The 21083-nt window shown below is 45.0% G+C and overlaps 1 protein-coding gene across 11 annotated transcripts in view, besides 2 other annotated features; it reads left to right on the forward strand.

The window, feature by feature from the left end:
- KAZN (kazrin, periplakin interacting protein) overlaps window positions 1-21083 on the forward strand; it is a 1225220-nt gene that overhangs the window by 720459 nt on the left and 483678 nt on the right. The gene's annotated exons all lie outside the window — the stretch shown is intronic.
- Window positions 15754-16254: an enhancer, noted in NCBI's record as "H3K4me1 hESC enhancer chr1:14955532-14956032 (GRCh37/hg19 assembly coordinates)". NCBI's record gives its function as "activates a minimal SCP1, AML or CMV promoter by ChIP-STARR-seq in naive and primed H9 embryonic stem cells {active_cell/tissue: H9 hESC(naive and primed)}" and the evidence as "EXISTENCE:reporter gene assay evidence [ECO:0000049][PMID:30033119]".
- Window positions 16255-16755: an enhancer, noted in NCBI's record as "H3K4me1 hESC enhancer chr1:14956033-14956533 (GRCh37/hg19 assembly coordinates)". NCBI's record gives its function as "activates a minimal SCP1, AML or CMV promoter by ChIP-STARR-seq in naive H9 embryonic stem cells {active_cell/tissue: H9 hESC(naive)}" and the evidence as "EXISTENCE:reporter gene assay evidence [ECO:0000049][PMID:30033119]".

Consider the following 21083-nt stretch of genomic DNA (forward strand, 5'->3'; position numbering starts at 1 on the left):
ATTGTACTCTGAGGGAAAACAGATAGTATGCCGCAAACTCCCACCAACAAAATGATCATTTCCCTGGTGAGCAGGCACACAGTATTAACATTAGCCAGGGGCCAGTTTTCAATAGTTTAAACTTTAATCAAGATGGCTATTCCATACCACAAGTTAACATCTGGATTTCATGTTTCTGCCATCCATATTCCCACTGAATAGTGATTCCTAGTGTTTTTAATGAAGAGAGAAAGAAAATTTTGGCTCCTACATTTTAGTAGTCATATTTTTGCTATCTGTTGGAGAAAATACATAAATGCAAAAGATTACAATGAATTCAGTAGCTTTGTCAAATGGTTACAGCTTCGGTATTGCATATATTTGAAAACTAATGGTACATACATGCAAGAAAAATAATTCATTGTGCCCATAGGCAGCAGGTTGGAGATGTGTGGATTTTGGACTTCTCGTCACCTTCTCTGGCCACCCAGAGTCTCTGCGGCCCACAGGTTGGGCCCGGATCAGTGCAGTGCTGAACAATGTCAGGTGCAGTGAGGTGCTTGACAAGTGCCTTGGAAAACTATGGCCTCTGCCCTGGGACTTTGAGTCTTCTGCCGATTTTAAGGGATTCCTCTGTTCTTCAAACCCAACTCTGCCTCCCTGTGACACAACTGATTAACCTGTAATTTGGGCCCCTGGCTTTCAGAAAACTCTGCAAAATTTCTGCAGAGTGACTTCCTGGTATGAATACCAGAAAGCACCAGTTATGGTCAGAATAACAGAACTGGCCCCATGCTAGATTTCCGGGAATACGATGCAATTGGCCAACTGCCATCACTAACTAGTGTCACCCTGCCTCATCTCCAGCAATGTCCTAAAACCCCTCAAGCATGTGATCCGTCATATCATTTTCTCATTTATGCCAACACTGGATAATGGCCTAATCTCTCCAGCAGCATTCAGATTTATTAGAGAAGATGGCATTTACAAAACCATTTCCCTGTTCCTCTGCAAACACCCTAAGCTGTCTTATAATAAACCACTCTCTTTATAGTAAGCCTTCCTTTTAACAGTGGTTTATTCCCTGCAATTAAAATCACCTGGAAGAGTCCAGAAACTGGTTTTCATTTCTCTTCCTTCGTGTTTGGTTCATCTTTGGCTGGAGGGCTCTGCAGGACTTGGGAGTGAACATTAGAGAGAGGCAGAGGCCAAACTTTGCTAAGGATGAGAGCTCTGCAGCAGGACATGGTCAGTATGAGGCTGGACCCAGCCTGGGTGACCATCTGCTGGGCCTGCTGGCAAAGCACCTCCCGCGCTGGGTTTAGATGTTCAGGAGAAAAATACATGCGCAAAACCAAATGTGATCTGGTTGGGAGGACTTTTCCGTTCATGGTGTTTTGCTTTCAAGATTGACCACTAAAGAAAATGACAAGTTTGGCAGCCACGGTATGTTGTCATTTGAATACAACCCAGAGAAACATTGAGAGACAGTAATTTCTAGGACAAGGGCCTCCCGGGTTTTTGTATGAAAGATTTGTTTGAACAAACTAAGATGCTGATGCAGGGAAGTTCAGCATCTATAGCACAGGACAGAGATCTCTGGAGTCCATTGCCAAGTGCAAATGCTGTCTCTTAACACTTCCTAGCTCGGTGAGGCGGGCAAGTTGCTTTACTAAAATAGGCCTTGGTTTCCTCGTAGGGATAATGCTGGTCCTGACCTCCCACGGCTGTTGTAGGATTCAGGTAGAATGTGTGTGATGTGCAGAGCACAGTACTTGGCACTTGCCAATTCCCCTGTAAATGTCGTTAACAAATGTTCACAAGTCTCCAGTATCCCTGCAGGCACTGAGGAAGGAAATTGAGTTTATTCTTTGGTTTCTTTGTCAGCTAACATTCATGAAGCACTCTATGATTGACAGAGCACTGTGATGAGCGCCCAGGATACCCGGACAAGTAAGGTGCCGACCACCTGCTGGAAACCAGAGGAGGGAAGAGCAGCAGAGGAAAGCCCCATTGTGGGATCCAGAGACCTGGGTTCTAGCCTCGAGCCTGCAACTAAGAGGCTAAAGAAGAGCAGAGTGGGCCAGGCATGGTGGCGCTCAACACCTGTAATCCTAGTACTTTGGGAGGCCAAGGCGGGCAGATTATTTCAAGCCAGGAGTTCGAGACCAGCCTGGCCAACATGGCAAAACCCTGTCTCTACTAAAAATACAAAACTACCCAGTGTGGTGGTGCACACCTGTAATTCCAGCTACTTGGGAGGCTGAAGCACAAGAATTGCTTGAACCCGGGAGGCAGAGGCTGCAGTGAGCCAAGATCGTGCCACTGCACTCCAGTCTGCATGTCAGAGTGAGACTCCATCTCAAAAAAAAAAAAAAAGAGGAGCAGAGGGGACTTCTCACTTCCATGAGGGAAGTGAGGCTTGTGGTTCCAATCGTATGGCCAACGTGTAGGCTGTGGCTTCGCCACCAGCCTCCGCAACTTGCAAGAGGCATCCCGGGAAGTGGCGTAGGAACTGAGACACTGGTTCAGTCAAAATGAGGGCATTTGGCATTTGGTAAGACTTCTCTGAAGTCCCTCCCATTTCTGAATTTCTACAACTTCTGACTATTCATAATATCACCCAATCCATCAGTTCCACCTTAAAAAATTTCTTAAAGGACAGGCAGTTCGTCTTGGGGAGTGTGGTCTCACCTGGCTTGAGCAGAGGTGATGTCAGCCTCCCAACTCTGCCAGAGACATGCGCAGGAGAGACACTTGAAAGCTGGGGTGGAGAGAAGGTGGCACCAGAGGGAAGTGCCCATGTGGGTTATGGAATGACGCAATGCCTATACAATCCAGGAAGGGACACTGAAGACAGCCTCATCTGGTCTTTACTTTGCAGTTGGAGAAACTGAGGCTGGAGAGCGCAAGTGAGTCTGCTGAGGCTATACAGCACTTTATACCAGAACCTGGGCTAGAACAAGACCTCTGGCCTCTTGGTCCAATTTGTGTTACCCTGACCCCCAAGCTTCCTCATGCGGTGTCCCAGCTGCTACACAGATCTGTGCCGCAGATCCCAGCAGAACCTTTGTGTGCCATCAACTCATCCTTTCTGTGCCCTCAAATAACTTAAATTCTGAAACAGACAAGCTGGAAACAGAGGAGTCCTCTGGTATGGAGTTTATGGCTTGGTCTGACTTTCTAGGGAGCATAGAAGAGGGTGATTTAGAAAAAAAAAAAAAGTACAAGCCAGATGCCCAAATTAAAACACTATAATTTTCTTGGAGTTTGTGCTCCAAGCAATGTAAATAAAGGTGAGGGCTGGGCCCCTCTGCCCATAAATCAGCGTCAGCGAAGGCTCATTCCCCTGTTGTGTTTAGATATTTCAGCCCATCACCTATACCTCTTGGCATTTCTGAGATACAAGGGAGAGGGTTCCATTTGTCATCCTGATTGTTCTCCCTAGGGTTTCTTGGAGCTGCGATCTCAGGGTTGCCTTTTGCATGAAATACGAAGCTCAGCGATAGAACCAGGACATTTCAATGCAGGCAGGATACACTTGGGAAGGCTGGGTTTCTGCCCTCGTGGCCTCATTTGCATTCACTCTGCTCCTGACCGTTTGTAATACAGTGGTGGGTGTCCATCAAATCGCTATTAACTCCAGCCAGCTCCTAAGGGGCTGTCTATGCTGTCCCTTACAAGTCCAGGGGATGGCATGGCCCATACCTTTGGTCATTCAGTGAGTGTCATGAGCCACTTCCATTGTTGTTTCTATTTAGTCTCTCAAGGATCCTGCAAGACAGCAACCTTGGTTGTGTGACTCCGTTCCTTTCACTGGATTCAGACACCTGGGTTAAACCAGCAGCCCCACCACATCCTAGCATGCCTTCTTGTTGGGTCCCATAACAGATGTTTTGCTATCTATGTTATGCGGCTGTTCTATGATACAGGCATATTTCAGAGATATTGCAGGTTCCATTCCAGACTACCACAATAAAGCAAATATCGAAATAAAGTGAGTCACACAAATTTTTTGGTTTCCCAGTGCGTATGAAACTTATGTTTACACTACATCGTAGCCTATTAAGTGTACAATAGCATTCTGTCTGAAAAGTCTACATACCTTCATTTAAAAATGCTTTATTGCTAAAAAATGGTGATACAGAGACACGAAGCCAGAACATGCTTTTGGGAAATTGGCGTTGATAGACTTGCTGCATGAGAGGGGTTACCACAAACCTTTGATTTGTAAAAAACAAAAACAAAAACAAAAAAGCCTTGGTATCTACGAAGCGCAGTAAAACAAGGTTTGCCTGTAGCTCGTACCTTATGGGGTTTTTATAAAAATAAAGTGAGTAAATATACGTGAATCCCGGTGATAAGTGCATGGGACATACATGCTAAGGATTCAATAAATATCAGCTATGAATGTGGAACTGTGTATTCAAGCTGTCCAGAGTGTCCCATGGAAGACCTGTAGTGCTGAAGAGTGACCTTTCTTGGGAGTGACAACACGACCATTTGAGGAGGAGCTAGTTAAAATTGGAGTCTTGGTTTTTCAAATAAAAATCCCAAAGCGCAAAGTGTATGAAGCCTTAATGTCCTCATTTATTTTGTGGTTTGATCTATGGGCTTTCCCATTTGGCAGTGGCAGAAGGGACTTCCCAAGTGCCCACTGCTATCTGCGCTCACCTTAAATATGCCCAACCAGAGTCTTATCTCCGACAGCTCATGCATCACCCTCCCTGGGAGAGGGAGCCCCGCTGACTTGCTGACAGACCCTCAGTTAATTTCTGGATTCTTTTTTTTCTCAGTTATTTATAGCTCAGCTGCTGATATTTCAAGCTCTCATTGCTAAGCAAGGAAAGGCTTGAATGCTGCGAGATGGCAGCTGAGTCCGGCGCTTGCTTCACTCTTCATCTAGTTTGTAAGGTGTGTCCCATGTCCATGGAAACACACTGGGGCATGGCCCCAGCCCCGGCGTGTTCTAGTGATGAGAGTGAGGATTTGACATGAAAAGGCCAAAGTTCTAGACCGTCTTCTGCCTCGAGCTGGTGACATGACTTTGGACTAATCACTTTGCCATTCAAGTCTCCATTTTCCCATCAGGAAGATGAGAAGAATGGAATAAAGGGATCATAATTTTATTCTGTACATATTTCTTGGGCACCTGCCCCATGGCTGGCCCCATGCTGGGCTCATGGAGTTCATGAAGCTCCTGGGGCAGGGAGAAGACAATGGCAATGATGAAGATAATAAGTGACACTAATATGATGGAGTACCTAGAAGGGACAAGGCATCCTTCTAAAAGCTATATATGTATTTTCGTGTTTAATCCTCACATTGTTTTATTAGTAGTCCAATTTTGACAGGTCAGGCAACTGAGGCATAAAGTGATTAAATCATGTGTCTATGATATGACCACACTGTGGGTATAGTTGACATTTGAACTCTGGCCCACTGACCCCAAAGCCTATATTTTTAACCAGCATGTGTCACTCTTTTGTCCCAAACCATATAATGACAATACACTGTGACAAGTACAGTGATAGTAGTATGTGCAAGGTATGTAAAAGTGTTGACAAGGGACACTTTGCCCAGGCTGAAGGAAAGGTGAGGGGTTCCCTGACAGTTTCCAAAGGAGCCTTCGCTTGAGTGGAAGTCTGGAAGGGCAAGTAGGTCTTCTTTGGGTCAAGAAGGTGTAGGTGGGTCTTTGGGCAGAATTTGCTGCAGGATACAGACACGGCAGGACGACAGCATGGCTTGTTGGAGGAGCAGCCAGTGTTTCGGTTTGGCTCAAGATCTGGGTGGGATGGGAGAATTAATGGGGCATTGAGATGAGAGTAAATGAGATTGAGAATGCAGGGGTGGAAGACAGATTTAGAAGGTTCTGATAAACTAAGAAAAGGAATCCAGTTTTACTCCATGCACAATGAAAAAGGAATTTAATCATTCTTGGTTTTTTTTTTTTTAAGACAAAATTTTACTCTCTTGCCTGGGCTCAAGTGCAGTGATGCAATCATAGCTCACTGCAGCCTCAAACTCCTGGGCTCAAACAATCCTCCCACCTCAGCCTCCTAAGTAGCTAGATCTACAGGTGGGTGCCAACACACCTGGCTAATTTTTTAAATTTTTTTGTAAAGACAGGGTCTCGCCATGGTGTCCAGGTTGGTCTCTGAACTCCTGGCCTCAAGCAATCCTCCCACCTCAGCCCCCAAAGCACTGGGATTGCAGTTGTGTGCCACTGTGCCAGGCATTGAATCATTCTTTTGTTATTGTAGTGAAATACACATAACGGAAAATTTGCCATTTAAATCATTTTAAAATGTGCAATTCACTGGCGTTAAAAGTACTTTCACGATGTTTTGCAACCCGTGCCACTATCTAGTTCCAGAACCTTTTAACCACCCCACACGGAAACCCTGTACCCATTAAGCAGTCACTTCCCATTCTTCCTGCCTCCAGCTCCTGGCAACCACAAATCTGCTTTCTGTATCTGTGGATTTGTTCATACTGGACATTTTATATAAATAGAATCATGCAACATGTGACCTTTTGTGACTGTCTTCTTTCACTTAGCATGATGATTTTAAGACTCATCCATGTTGTAGCGTGTATCAGCACTTCATTCCTCTTTACGACCGTATAACATTCCAGTGTGTGGCTATACCACATGATATCCATTCATTTATTGATGGGCACGTGAGTTGTTTCTGCCTTTTTGGATGTTGTGAATAGTGGCATTGAATCACTTTAAGTTCAGTTTTAGCCTCTTCTCAGCTCCCCAGGTCAATGCACATGAGCCTTGCCCCTGCTAGGTTAACAGTTACCCATCTGTACAATAGTAAGTACAGTTACCCATCTGTACAATGGTAGGATCTATGTATATATGCGTATTTTACACGTGTATGTATAGTCTCTACAAAAGTATACCATCTGCTTCTCCCTAAATTGTAAGCACAAGAGAAAAATTAGATAATTTTGAAATTGTTTGAGACAATTCTATTTAAAACTAAAGAGCAGCTTTCCTCAAGTGTTAAATGCAGCTGATAAGATCACCCATTTCTGAAAGTTGTTGAGAGTATTCAATGCGTTCATTCACACAAGGCTCAGCAATGCCTAGCACATCAGAAACACCCAGAGAAACTGCTTGTGATCATTCCTATAATTATCACCGTTGTTATTATTGATGCAACCTCCACTTTGCCACATCTTCTCTGGGTGGCAAGAAGCTGGAATAGGTTTCCAAGATTCCAGGGCTCGGCCAGGTCATTAGGGAGCCCTGTTGGATAGATTTGGGGCACATGTTGTCCAGAGGAGATTTGTGACAGGGTAACCATGGAAACTTTCCTCTTCTTTCTGCTGCTTCTTTCTGAAAATACCAAGAAGTTTGTAGGGTGGCAGAGCCAGCTGGAATACCACAGTGGGCAAGAGGCCTTCTCAAGTAACAGTCATGAGCTCAACTCCGAGCCCTGCCACTACTATAATAGCTGTGAGTGACCTTGAGTGAAGTGCCTCATCTCATTCAGCCCCAGTTTTAGCATCTTTAAAATGGAAATAATAGAAGCATCTGCATTTTAGGGTTGTTGTGAGGATCCTCAGAGGTGACGCCTTGGAAATCTCCCAGCGGAGCCTCTTGTACAACCTAATTTCCATGAAAGTGTCCCCATCATCATCTTCAGTGTGCCCATTTGTTGGGATAGATGGTCCTCATCATCTCTGCTTGTCCTGGAAACTGGAGCTGTCACATCAGCCTCCCCATGTAGGAACTTGCTGGCTGGCCACAGAGCAGATAGGCAGCTCCAAGGAGGGGACATTTTCCTGGAGCTTCTACTTCCCAGGGGAGCTGCCAAGTGAAAAGACAGTTGCTGGAATGGAGGCCAAATCCTTCATGTGCTGGTCCACCAGGACTGGAGCAGGGCCACCCAAGGCATTTGTTATCTGCTAATGAGGCTAATCAATGGCTGGAGGGTGGAAAGAGTGGGGCTTACTGCTCAGCAGCCAGAGTCATGCCAGGCTTTTCCAGACAACTGTGCTGCAAGTGTATTATTTTCTCACAAATGGATGTGGCATTTTACAAGTAGGTCTCTGTCACTTCTGAATGCAGAAAGTATGTGTGTTTAATCCACATGCTCGTTTAAGAAAAGCTCTGACTCTACTAATTCTGCTGTGCCTTTTAATGAATCTCTATTCTGCTAGACTCTGGGCTATAAGGAACCATAGAGACAGGTCTCCTCAGAGCCCCCAGGCTACCTCTTAGGACCACACTAACTCCCCAAGGTCACTTTGCTTTGGGGAACAAGACAGAAGACAAGAAAATAGCAAGCATGGGTGATATGGTTTGGCTGTGCCCCACCCAAATCTCACCTTGAATTGTAATAATCCCCATGTGTCAAGGGTGGGGCCAGGTGGAGATAATTGAATCATGGGGGTGGTTTCCCTGTGGTAGTGAATAAGTCTCACAAGATCTGATGGTTTTATAAAGGGGAATTCCCCTGCACAAACTCTGTTGTTTGCCGCCATGTAAGATGTGACTTTGCGCCTCCTTGCCTTCTGCCATGACTGTGAGGCCCCCCCTCAACCATGTGGAACTGTGAGTCCATTAAACCTCTTTCCTTTAAAAATTACTCAGTCTCAGATATGTCTTTATTAGCAACGTGAGAACAGACTAATACAATGGGAAAGTTGCAAACCCTAAGAAACCTTACAAAGCCTGTACTTCCGGCTTGAACAGGGCATAAAGTATAAGAGCCCTGGGACCAGGCTGTTCTAACTTGCACATTGCAGACAGTCAGCTACTGAGGCAGCATCTCCTCTTCCCAACACTAGTTGAAGAGGCCATTTTAGAAGAAAATTACACAGATTCATTTCCTCCTTTACCTTGTGAGCTGCTTGAAGTCAGATGTGCTCTGACTTCTTTTAAGACACAGTGAACATATAGTAAATTGTAAATGTTGACCGATCCAAAGTCCCTGAAATCAGCCCATGGAGACTCCATTCTGGAAGAGGAGAGTGCATTGATCAATTCTAATTGGAAAGTATGGGTTTGCTTAATATTAGGCCTTCATGGGAGTTTGGAAAAAATACAACAGACAGTGATAAATAATATTATGTTTAGTGAAATAAGGTATCTTTGAGATTTCTTGTGTTTTTTGAAAATATTAAGGCCAGGCGTGGTGGCTCATGCCTGTAATCCCAGCACTTTGGGAGGCCGAGGCGGGCGGATCACGAGGTCAGGAGATCGACACCATCCTGGCGAACACGGTGAAACCCCGTCTCTACTAAAAATACAAAAAAATTAGCCGGGCGTGGTGGCGGGTGCCTGTATTCCCAGCTACTCAGGAGGCTGAGGCAGGAGAATGGCATGAACCTGGGGGGCGGAGCTTGCAGGGAGCGGAGATCGACCACTGCACTCCAGCCAGGGTGACAGAGCGAGACTCCATCTCAAAAAAAAAAAAAAAATTATGAAAATGTGTCTAATCTCTGCTTCACCTTTAAGCCTCACCTGAAATGAAATTCAGATTATGCATTTATCCCTTCATTCTGATTCTTTTATTAAGGAGGTGTCAAAAACTTTGTCTTTGGAATCCAATAAGTCTGGTTCAGATCTTAACTCTGATGCTTAAATACCTGTATGACCTTAGAAAATTTGCTCAACTTCTTTGGGTATCAGTGTTCTTAATTTTTTTTTTTTTGAATTTAAAAGTCAAAATAATAACAGATGGCAAGGTTGTGGAGAAAAGAGAATGCTTATACACTGCTGGTGGGAATATAAATTAGTTCAGCTATGTGAAAAGCGGTTTGACAATTTCTCACAGAAAATCGTAAAACAGAATGACCACCTGACCCAGCAATCCCATTATTATTTGGATATATTGGTATATACCCAAAGGAATATAAATCATTCTGCCATAAAGACACATGCATGCATATGATCATTGCAGCACTATTCACAATAGCAAAGATATGGAATCCACTTAAATGTCAATGGTAGACTGGATAAGGAAAATGTAGTACATGCACACCATGGAATACTATGCAGGCATAAAAAAGAACAAGATCATATCCTTTGCAGCCACATAGATGGAACTGGAGGCCATTATGCTCAGTGAACTAATGCAGGATAGAAAACCAAATGCCACATGTCCTCACTTATAAGTGGGAGCGAAACATTGAGTGCACTTGGACACAAAGAAGGGAATGACAGACACTGGGGCCTACCTGAGGGTGGAGGATCGGAGGAGGGAGAGGAGCAGAAAGGATGATTATCGGGTATTGAACTTAATACCTGATTGATGAAATACTCTAGATACTAAATGCTCATGACACACAATATACCTAGATAACAAGCCTGCACATGTACCCCTGAATCTAAAATAAAAGTTTAAACATAATAATTTAAAAACATCTCTCTTCTTTTCTAATATAGGTGTTTAGTGCCATGAAATTTCCTGAAGTATTGCTTTGGCTGCATCCCACAGATTTTGATACCTTGTATGTTCATTTTCATCTTTTTTTTTCTCTTTTGATATCTAATTGACTGATAGTTTATTAGGGACTCTTGTTATTTATTTTCTAAATATTTTGTGATTTTTTTCACAGATAATTCTGTCTGTTATTGATCTCTGATTTTATTCCCTTGTGGTCAAAACATATATTTTGTGTAACTTAAGTCCTTTAATAATTTTTGAGACTTGTTTTATATCTTAGAATATGGTATATCTTGGTAAATCATTCCACGTGCCCTTGAAAACAATGTGTATTCTGTTATTTTGAATAGTGTGTGCTAAAAATATTAATGAGGTCAAGTAGGTCTATACTGTTATTCAAGTCTACCATGACCTTACTGATTTTAGTCCTACTTGTCCTATCAGTTATTTAGAGAATATTAAAACCAGGCCGGGCACAGTGGCTCATGCCTGAAATCCCAGCACTTTGGGAGGCTGAGGTGGGTGGATCACAAAGTCAGGAGATCGAGACCGTCCTGGCTAACAGGGTGAAACCCTGTCTCTACTAAAAATACAAAAAATTAGCCAGGCTTGGTGGCATGTGCCTGTAGTCCCAGCTACTCTAGAGGCTGAGGCAGGAGAATCGCTTGAATCCGGGAGGCGGAGGTTGCAGTGAGCCAAGATCGCGCCACTGCACTCCAGCCTGGCCAACAGAGCGAGACTCCGTCTCAAGAAAAAAAAAAAACAACAAAAAAAACCACTAACTATTATGGATTTGTCTATTTCTCCCTGCAGTTCTCAGCTTTCGTTTACTGTATTCTCAAGTTCTGTCATTATGTGCAGAAATATTTAGGTGTGTTATGTTCACTTGACAAATTGACTGCTTTATCATCATAAAAAAAAAAGTTTAGAGGATTTGACAAAATCTCCAGCCACCATGCATGGCCCACACTGTGCCTTAGACAGCTAAGGACTCGGTGAAGAGAGTTCATTCATTTGTTCAACAAACATTTATTGAGTCCTTTCAGTGTGCCAAGTCATGGCTGAACACGACCTGGTCACTATCTGCAAAGAGTTTATACTCAAATGTTGGAGCTTACAGTTTTGTGGTAATTAACACGTCAAGTGCAGCCTTTCACAAGAATATTATAATTTGAGTTGGGTTAGTGACCCAACAGCAAAAGACCTTATCGCTCTCTGTCTACCTACCCTGCTTGATCTCACTAGACATTACCAGAAACTTCACCTGAACAAACAGGGACAACATTTGGTTTTTGATGAGGTGATGTCTGGTTTTTAAAATTAAGTATCCCAGATAAATTGCTGGTCTGTGCCAGAAACCAAAATACAGACATCGCCACTATTTCTAAGAGAACTATGTGAGCTCATCCTGTGTCCCCTGGAGGGTCCCCCCCGACACCGCGTAGTCATCATGGAAGACATTAGCAGCGGTACCCAGGGTGATGAGCGATATTCTATTAGGCATTCTTCTCTTTTTCCTTGAGCGAGTTTTCTGCATGTGTGGAGTTTCTTTTAAGCTTCAGTACACAGTTCAGAGGGTAATACCATTAATTAAACCAACAAGGTAATGTAATGAAAGGTAGGAGCCTCCACAGTATACTAGATTTAGCCCTGATTAACAGGGTGGCCCCCCTCACACTGCAAAGCCTCGCTCCCTACTATCCGAGGATAAAGCCTCAATTGTAATTAAAACTAGGGAAGAAATTTCACTCTTCTCTGCAAGTGGAAAATGAACAGTTTAAAAGCAGAGGACCAAAGGAATCACTTAGAGAAGTCAAAGAGATATCCCAAAAAAGCCCCAAAGAGGCTTGACTTATAATTAGCAGCTAAAAGATTTCCAGTCATATTTCATCAATTTCTGTTTAAGGGGGAAAAAAACTTTAAGACTATTTTGACAAGATAGAGTTTTGACTGAGGTTGGGGGAAGCTAAAAGCGTTACTTTAAAATGTAATTATGTGAAACTTCAATTATCATCCTGCCTTTCAAAAGTCTCTCGATTCAGCAGGCAATTAGCAGACATGAAAGAGGGCGGGAGGTTTGTGCGTTGGACGATGTGATTTCTTCTCAGGGACAGATGCACTCGGTGTAATTTGCTGTTTGCAATTTCCCCGGAAACGAGAGGTTGTGGGAAGTGGTAGTCATTTGGGCTGGCAAAGAAACCTAGTCCTTTTTAGCAATGTCTTTTCTCCCTGGCCGCACCCATATTCATACCTGGATGTCTACTTGTTTCTCGCTTTTCAGGGGACCTACGGGATTCTGAGGGATATTTGATATGTCGTGCAGATTTATATCTAGAAGCTCTTCTCCCCTGAGCATGAACTTTAGTTGAAAGAGCTGGCACAGCTCATGAGAATTCCTTCCTTCGTTCTCATACCTGGTGGGGCTGCGGAATTCTGGCCCCAGCCAACTGGACTGAGCCCTGCTGAGAGTTTGCAAGCGTCATTAGAGGCCTTTTATTCTGTCCTCTTTCTCTCCTGCTGCCTGTACACATTATACGGAATTAATGACTTCTGGCTGTCAATCAATGACACTGTTATTGAAATTCATGAGTTTAGATTCTGACATATGCACTAAGTGCTAAGCATGGATGAAAATATAAAGCTTCAGCCATTAGCTGGTAAAGCTAGTCTTCCTCCTAACAGCGTGCTTTTGTAGAACACTTCCCTTTGCACTCCAGCAGAAACAACATTGTGTGCACAGATTCTTACAACAGCCCATTGTGTTGTTTGGTGTACCTATTTCGCAGATGAGAAAGTGGAGGTCCAGATGGGTCCAGGTCAAGTGCCTTGCCCGGGGTTACCATCCCGGCTGGGGGTCTTAGCATCTCTCATGAGCCCCTACAGCAGCATCTTCCAGCCTCTCGTCCACTTTCTCCAAGCCACAGCCTGAGTGAACCTTCTGGAATGCAAGTTTCTCTGTGTGATTCTGCTTCTGAACACCACCTCGGTGGTTCTCTGTGGTTCCAGATCCAGCCTCAACTCCTTACCGTGGCTCCTGAGGCACCTCTGTGCCTGACTCTGCCTCTTTCCCTTGTCTTATTTCTTGATGTTGCCACGTGCAGCCTACTCTCCAGCCACACCAAAATCCTCGAAGCCTTTTCCAGACTTCTCAAGGTTGTTCATGCTGCTTGCGGCCCTGTTCCCTGCTTTTCATGCAAAAAAACATTCCACTGATCCTTAAGTGCCACTTCTGGGAAGCCTTCCAGACTCTGCCAGGGACTGTGCTCCTACTGTGTGCCCCTTTAGCACTCTGAAGTCGCTTACCAGGACACTCGGTAAATATTTATTACTTGGTAAATATTTATTGAGCACCTACTATGTTCCAGCCACTGTTGGAGGCCCTGGGATAAAGCAGTGAACAGACAGACCAGTAGGGGGAAAGACACAGTAACCAAATAAAACTGTAGTGCACTGGGGCTGCTAAGGGAAATCAGAGTGGCTGGGGGGCTTGTTTTGATGGGGGCATCAGGGAAGCCTTCTCAGAGCGGGAAGGGTGTGAAGGAGCCAGCCATGGGATGTCAGGGGGCCAAGCGTCTCAGCATCCAAACAGAAGAAAGAGCATGTGCAGAGGCCCATGAGGCTGCAGCCTGCTTAGTGTGCTTGAGGGATGCAAGGAGGCCTCTGTAGCTGGGGCCCAGCAAGTCGCCCAGGAGGTCAATAAGAGATGAGATCAGAGGGGTGGCTGGGCCAGAGAGTGCAGAGGAGTGAGCCCTTGCAGCTGGCGAGCTGGGAGGCCCGAGGAGGCATGTCTGCACAGGCCTGATACGATCTCACTCAGGACTTAAAAGGCTCGCTCCTCACTCCCCTCCTATCACTGTTGATTTAATCTGCTTTCTTCCTGCTGCGCTGTAAGCTCTGTGAAGGCAGGGGCTGCGTCTGGTTTGCTCACCATTGTATTCCTAGGGCTTAGCACAGTGCCTGCCTTCTGAGGGTACCTAATAAATATATGTTCAATGACTCCCAGCCGAGCTAGTTTCCCGTTAGAATCCACAGCAGCTGACAAACAGAGAGCCAGGGTATTCATGTTCTGGGTAGCATAACCCCCGACCGCCAAACAACCAGCTAAGTTTAGAGAAGCTCCACACCTAGGCCTGATTTGCATTGTGCAAGGAGCACCCAGTTGTGTTGAGGAGGCTGTTCTTGTGTGGGGTTGAGGGGTAACAGGTTTATTCTCTGCCCATCAGGCGTCTACTTGGCATTTGGGTCACGTGTGAATCACAGATGTTTCCGACGGCTGATGACAGTGTGGGCAAGATGGATATGGAACTCTCTCTCTCTCTCTCTCTCGTCTGTCTGACCTTCTCACCCTCTCTTTCCCAAGAAATAGGCAGCACCCATCCATCCACTTGCAAACAAAATCAGTGTGTTCTCTGCGTTATTTTCTGCCTTTGCAATGGGACATCTCAGTCTCCATTGCTACAGACCGGGTACAGATTACACCTGATCTGGTCCTGGGGCAGTGGATCCGGGTGCAGTTCTGTGTAGCATGCATGCCTATGGATCCTGTGAGTTTGTTTGAAAGGACGACCTTTTGTCGGCGGAGTAATTTCAGTTTTAGTTGGCACCCTAGACAAAGCAGTCTTTCAACACACCCGCAGCATATAAGCAGCCAGGACTTTTTCAATGAGATTGCAGGAAATTTGCCAAGTCGTTTGGGGCCTGTAAATTAGGCCTTGTTTAAAAATTTAGATAAAGCCCAATGTGAGAGAGAAATGCTTTCATAACATTAAATGTGAATTACACTGAAAACCCCTTTCAAGTTAAATGGAACTGTTCTCTGGAAGCACAGAGACATGAAATGCTTCAAATGTCAAAAGAGTTTTCATTTATTGTCCCAAGTAAAAGCGAAGGCATTTTATGTGGTTTAATAGTTCAGATGCACATGTAAATGGAATTCATCTGGAGAATGCCGGGCCAGATACAGAATCTATTTTCACAAACCTGAATGATTTCATTTTATCTTTGCAGTAACCTTACAAGGGGTGGGTCCCACCGTCCCTGTTTCAGAGATGAGGAATCCAGAAAGCTGGACGGAGACATTCATGTCAGCTGCAATCTTGCTACCAACACCTCTTGCTTCCATCATTAACACTTAACAAAACCGGAAGCACTGTCACATCTTTCACATTCTTTTTTTTTTTTTTTTTTTTTATAGATGGAGTCTTGCTCTGTTGTCCAGGCTGGAGTGCAGTGGCACCATCTCCACTCACTGCAACCTCTGTCTCCCGGGTTCAAGCAATTCACCTGCCTCAGCCTCCCGAGTAGCTGGGACTACAGGTGCCTGCCACCACACCCAGCTAATTTTTGTGTTTTTACTGGAGACGGGGTTTCACCATGTTGGCCAGGCTGGTCTTGAACTCCTGACCTCAGGCGATCCGCCTGTCTTAGCCTCCCAAAGTGCTTGGATTACAGGTGTGAGCCACCATACCCGGCCTCACATTAATTCTTAAAGAGATCAATTCTCATACGGTGGCAGGGGGAGGATGGAGTGTCTTATGGATAACGAGTAGTCCCCAAGAAAGGTGTTGGGGTTGGCGTGTGTTTATTTGTTAGTGCCTGACATTGTAAGAAACATGTTTTTCTCTCTCCAAGAGCCTTTTGTGAACATCAGTTTGCCATATTCGTTGCTGTATTCCAGCAGCAGCTCCTGTCTCAGTAGGCTGTTCCCTTTGCTCTTCTACTAAGTCACTTAGGAGGTGATTTGTTGCAACGAACAGAAACCCACGTTAAACTGGTTGAAATGGTCAGGGATGCTCATGATGGAAAACCTCGCAGGCTGCGAGCACCCCAGCACGGCCCATGCAGCAACTCGGGTGAGGTGGCCACGCCCTGCCTCTTCTTTGCTCCCTCCGGTTTCCTCTGTCCATAGCAGTCTTCCTCTTCTGGTCCAAAGATGGCTGCCACGGCTCCAGGGCTCGTTGCTTCCTTGTTCACATCCACTAGGTAGGAGCTCACTCTGTCTAATCTTTGGGAAAAAAGTACTGGACTTAGATCTGAGGGATCAGTTGGGTCGCATGCCCACCTCTGAGTCAGGCACTGAAGAAGGGTGTGGTGGGAGTGGAGCTGGGGAGGCACTAGGGCCGGGTTGTTCTGCTGGGTTCTACTCTTAAACTAAAACCTAAGGAAGCTGCACACCCTGGGGCTAGGGCTGGAGAAAACCCGGCAGCCTGCTGGTGGATGTTGATCATTTGGCTCTCTGAGAAGCAAATAAAGCCCCACCTACCCGCCCCCCTGCCACGCCGCCCCCAAATGCAGCATTTGCCAATTCCCATGGTGTAAATACATATTTCTGCTAGGGTTGATTTTCAGCTACGAATGCAATGTCAGTGAACATGGCATTGGGAACAGAAACATCATTGGCCCTCAGGCCAGTCCCCCACTGTAACACTGTTCCTAAAATCTGTGGGCTCTATAGAGGGAATAATGGCTCTTCAAACAAATATCAGAGAAGGGGAAATGAATAAATGCAGGCATGCTAAAATGAGCATCCCTAGGGATACCCCAGCTCGGTCCTGATGCCGTATTCACCCTAGTTCTTCATGGTCCAGCTTTAAGCCAACTGCTAGTAGTTGTTTCCTGTCCCTTCTGTGAAAGTGTGGATGGTGGGGGGAATTTAACTCTTGAGCTGTTGTTCAAGCTGGGGCCTTTCAGCAAATTCCTTAACCGTTGTCTGTATACTCAACTATGAAGATGGCCAGGTGAGGTGGCTCATGCCTGTAATCCCAGGAATTTGGGAGGCCAAAACGGGAGGATCACTTGAGCCCAGGTGTTCAAGACCAGCCTGGGCAATATAGTGAGACCTCATCTCTATGTTAATTAATTTTAAAATAATATTTTTTAAAAGATTATAGTAATGACCTCTCCACCAAAGGGCCATTGTGGGAGTTAAATGAGATGCTGACTGGGGCCATGCTTTGTAAGCCATAAAATGCTGTGTGTATATAAATGTAAGGCATGTGCATTATTCTCTCTAATGATTCCCCTACCCCAAGTGGACCACAGTTCAACAGTGTAGCCTAGCAGAGAAGTCATGAACTCTGAAATCAGACAAGCCTGGATTCAAACTTCAGGTCTGCTGCTTTTGGGCTGTGTGACTGTGGGGAAGACACGTAACCTCTCTGAAGCTTTGTTTTCTCATCAATAAAATGGGGGTAATAATGCCTTATTTTGAAGGGTTGTTGCAAAGATTGCTATAGGATAAAGTCAATAAGGGCACAATAAAAGTAAAAATCAATATGTTTAAAACATAATTTCATAACTAGTATACGTTGATTACCCCTTCATCCAAGCGTATTGATCTTCTAGCAGCAGCCTCCAGTTTTGCTCTGGGGATCCATTTTTCCCTGACTCTTAGGCTGAGAGGTTCATGGAACATCCCCTACCCTGCTGCCTCATCCTGTATTCACAGTTACTAGTTCAGAGACAGGTCCATCAGCATCCAATCAGAGTGAATCCAACAGCTGCTATGGAAAGCTACTAGGAAGTGACCCCCTCTGCGCTGGGATCTAAGAGATTAAAAGGGCGGAGCTGCCACGGCCATCTTGGCATCACAAGGTAGGGAGCACCAAGTATGAGCCAGGAAACAGTGAAGGCTAGAATAATTTGAGCCTGGATCAAGCCCCCATCCTTGGACATTTTAGTTACATACACCCATACGGTCTTTTTCTGAGGCTAGGGCTGGGAATTACCATCAATCACAACCAAAATCCTATCTGATTCATGACACCTGGAGAAACTGAGCCTCAGAAAGGTGGCACAGGTGGAAAGAGATGGCACTGCTGGTGAGTGGTGGTGTAGAGACGCAGGCCAGGCCCTCCAGCCCCGATCCTGCTACCTCTCACCCCAGGGCCTGCTGCTACCTTGGGAGGATCACATTCAGGTGTCCAGCTGGTGGCCCCGCCACGGTACAGCAGAGACATGTGACTCTAGATTATGCACGTTGCAGCTTCTCGCATCACACTGCATGCTGGAGAGAGGGCGGGAGCACATGAGCCTTCATCCTTCAGCTGCTGGGATTTTTCCCAGGGAATGAAGTGATGAACATCCCCAGGTAGCTGCTCCCCTCGTGTTGGCGAGGAAGCTCTCGGGTGAAATGTACCTTTGGGGGTTGTGTATCTGAAGCTCTGTGTTGTTTTTATACCAGAAGAAAGAAAAAGCAGTGAGAGACATCTGGGGTCAGCTCTCTTAATATCACACAACAAATTCTGGCAAGCACCCCCCAGCTTTGAATAAATGTTATTTTGATTGGATTTAGAAGTTTGGAGAAGACAAAATGACACATTTTCACACTTCCCTGTCAAACCAAAGTATGATTGCCAAACTGCTAAGTTTTTAAAAAGCAGGAAAGGGAACAGCTTATGTGAAACACCTTCATTGCAATTCCAGGTTTCTGGGGGGCTTTGCTGTAATTCTCATTTTCCCCTTATCGTGTACAGGTACACCTCACTTACTGGAGCTAAGGCTTTCTGGGGTGGGGACGGGCTTGGAGCCTCAGGGGAATGCTTACAATAATTTTATCAGTCAAAACATGTTTTGAATGCATTAAAGGTCCTTGTTTTTATTTTAAAGCAAACTTTGTATGAAGCATAACATCCCTTTCATGGTTGGTTTTTAAGGGAATTCAATGGGAATCCTTTTGTATAGAGAAGAATCCTTCTGCTGTGGAAAGAATTACCCTGCTGTCAACATGTCAACATCAGAAAACGCTTCTATGGTAAAAGTTAGATTAGTGACATATAAATAATGAAGAATAGTCTGTGTTGAGAAGAGTAAGTGCACTGAAGATTTATGGTAGAAGTTCTAAACTTTTCTGAGAACATTAAACAAGTGCCCAGCAGGAGAATCCTTTCTTTTGGGCTTTTTTTTTTTTTTTTTAATTCACTCATTGGAATTCTACTCATTTTCCTGCCCACCCAAAGGCTACAGGTAATCATCTCCTTTCTTCCAAATGAACTTGCACTGTTCTCAGCTAGGACTAACAAAGGAAACTGAGACCGCAAGTGTAAACCTGGCAGAAATCCGCTTGTTTGATTTCATCCCGCAGGTACCCTCTGCAGCCCTAACCTTGGCCACCTCTGTTGATGCTCTTCTTCCACACTGAGCCAGGTGTGGACCGTGGCGTGACCTGAATACATTTGTCACCAGTACAGGATTGGAAGAGTCACTGTAGACACTCTCCTGTTTGGGAGGAAGGACAAAATGCACTTTATTTATTTTTTTTTTGAGACAGAGTATCACTCTGTCACCCAGGCTAAAGTGCAGTGGCGCCATCTCGGCTCACTGCAACTTCCGCCTCCCAGATTCAAGCGATTCCCCTGCCTCAGCCTCCTGACTAGCTGGTATTACAGGCACCTGCCATCGTGCCTGGCCAATTTTTGTATTTTAAGTAGATACAGGGTTTCACTGTGTTGGCCAGGCTGGTCTCGAACTCCTGACCTCAAGTGATCCACCTGCCTCGGCCTCCCATAGTGCTGGGATTACAGGTGTGAGCCACCGCACCCGGCCAAAATGCACTTAATATTGTCAGATCTTCTGGTTATTAGATACTGGTAGGCTCAAGTCCCCAAAACTTTGTATGGCAGATGGGATTGTTAAGGATCTTGAGATGTGGACCCAATGTCATCACAAGAGTTCTTGTAAGAGGAAGGCAAGAGGGTCCGAATCAGAGAAGGCCGTGTGACAGCAGCAGCAGAGGTTAGAGAGATGCCATTGCTAGAAGGGGCCTTGAGCCAAGAAATGTGTGGGTGCCTCTAGAAGCCGGGAAAGGCAAGGAACTGGATTCTCCCCTAGAGCTTCTAGAAGAAACACAGCCCTGTCTGCATCTTGATTTTAGCCCCCAAGACCCACTTTCCAGCTTCTGACCTCCAGCACTGTCAGATAATAAATGTGTGTTCCTCGAAGCCGCTAAGTTTGTGGTGATTTGTTGCAGCAGCCTATAGGAAACTTACACAGCCATTCACTCTGCTGAGCATTAGAATGACACACAGTCCTCGACTCTCAGACTCACAGAACATTATCCATCCTCTCTCTGAGGATTCAGAAGATACTGAGGCTCCTACAGTGCCTTGGGGACATGATTATGAAAATAAGTACCCATTATATTGGTTAAGAGAGAGCCTGGCTCGACACCTGGTAGAAACAGCATTTGCGCGCGCACTCTCTCTCTCTCTCTCTATATATATATATTTATTTAAAGGCTGACAATTTGGAGAGAGATGAAAAATACCACAATTGCTTACAATAGAACCTGACAAAATGGGGTTGTTCTGGTGCCCTGGTGCCTACCTGTGTTTGAGGGTCTCAATAGCAGGGTCCAACAACTGCAGAGAGCTGGAGATCATGTTAAATATAAATATAGGGTTTGCAGAGAGGGACCCATTCTTTTCCCTCTCTTTGCATGCCTAGTTCCTATTACTGTCACAAGGAGTTATGTGTGTGTATCTATAAGGCAATGGATGCCGTTTATCGTAATTCAGCTAGTGCACAAAATACCACATTTACACCATATTGGCACTTGAACTATTCCTTCCCCAAGAACCCTGTCCCCACGAGTATGTATCAAATACCTCCCAACTTCATTTTTTATCAAGCCTGGCCAATAAAAGCTGAAAGATCACTGAGGATTTTTCTCTTTTGTCTTAAAAAATTTTCATT

The sequence above is a fragment of the Homo sapiens genome, chromosome 1, assembly GCF_000001405.40.
Source record: "Homo sapiens chromosome 1, GRCh38.p14 Primary Assembly".
Lineage (NCBI taxonomy): Eukaryota > Metazoa > Chordata > Mammalia > Primates > Hominidae > Homo > Homo sapiens.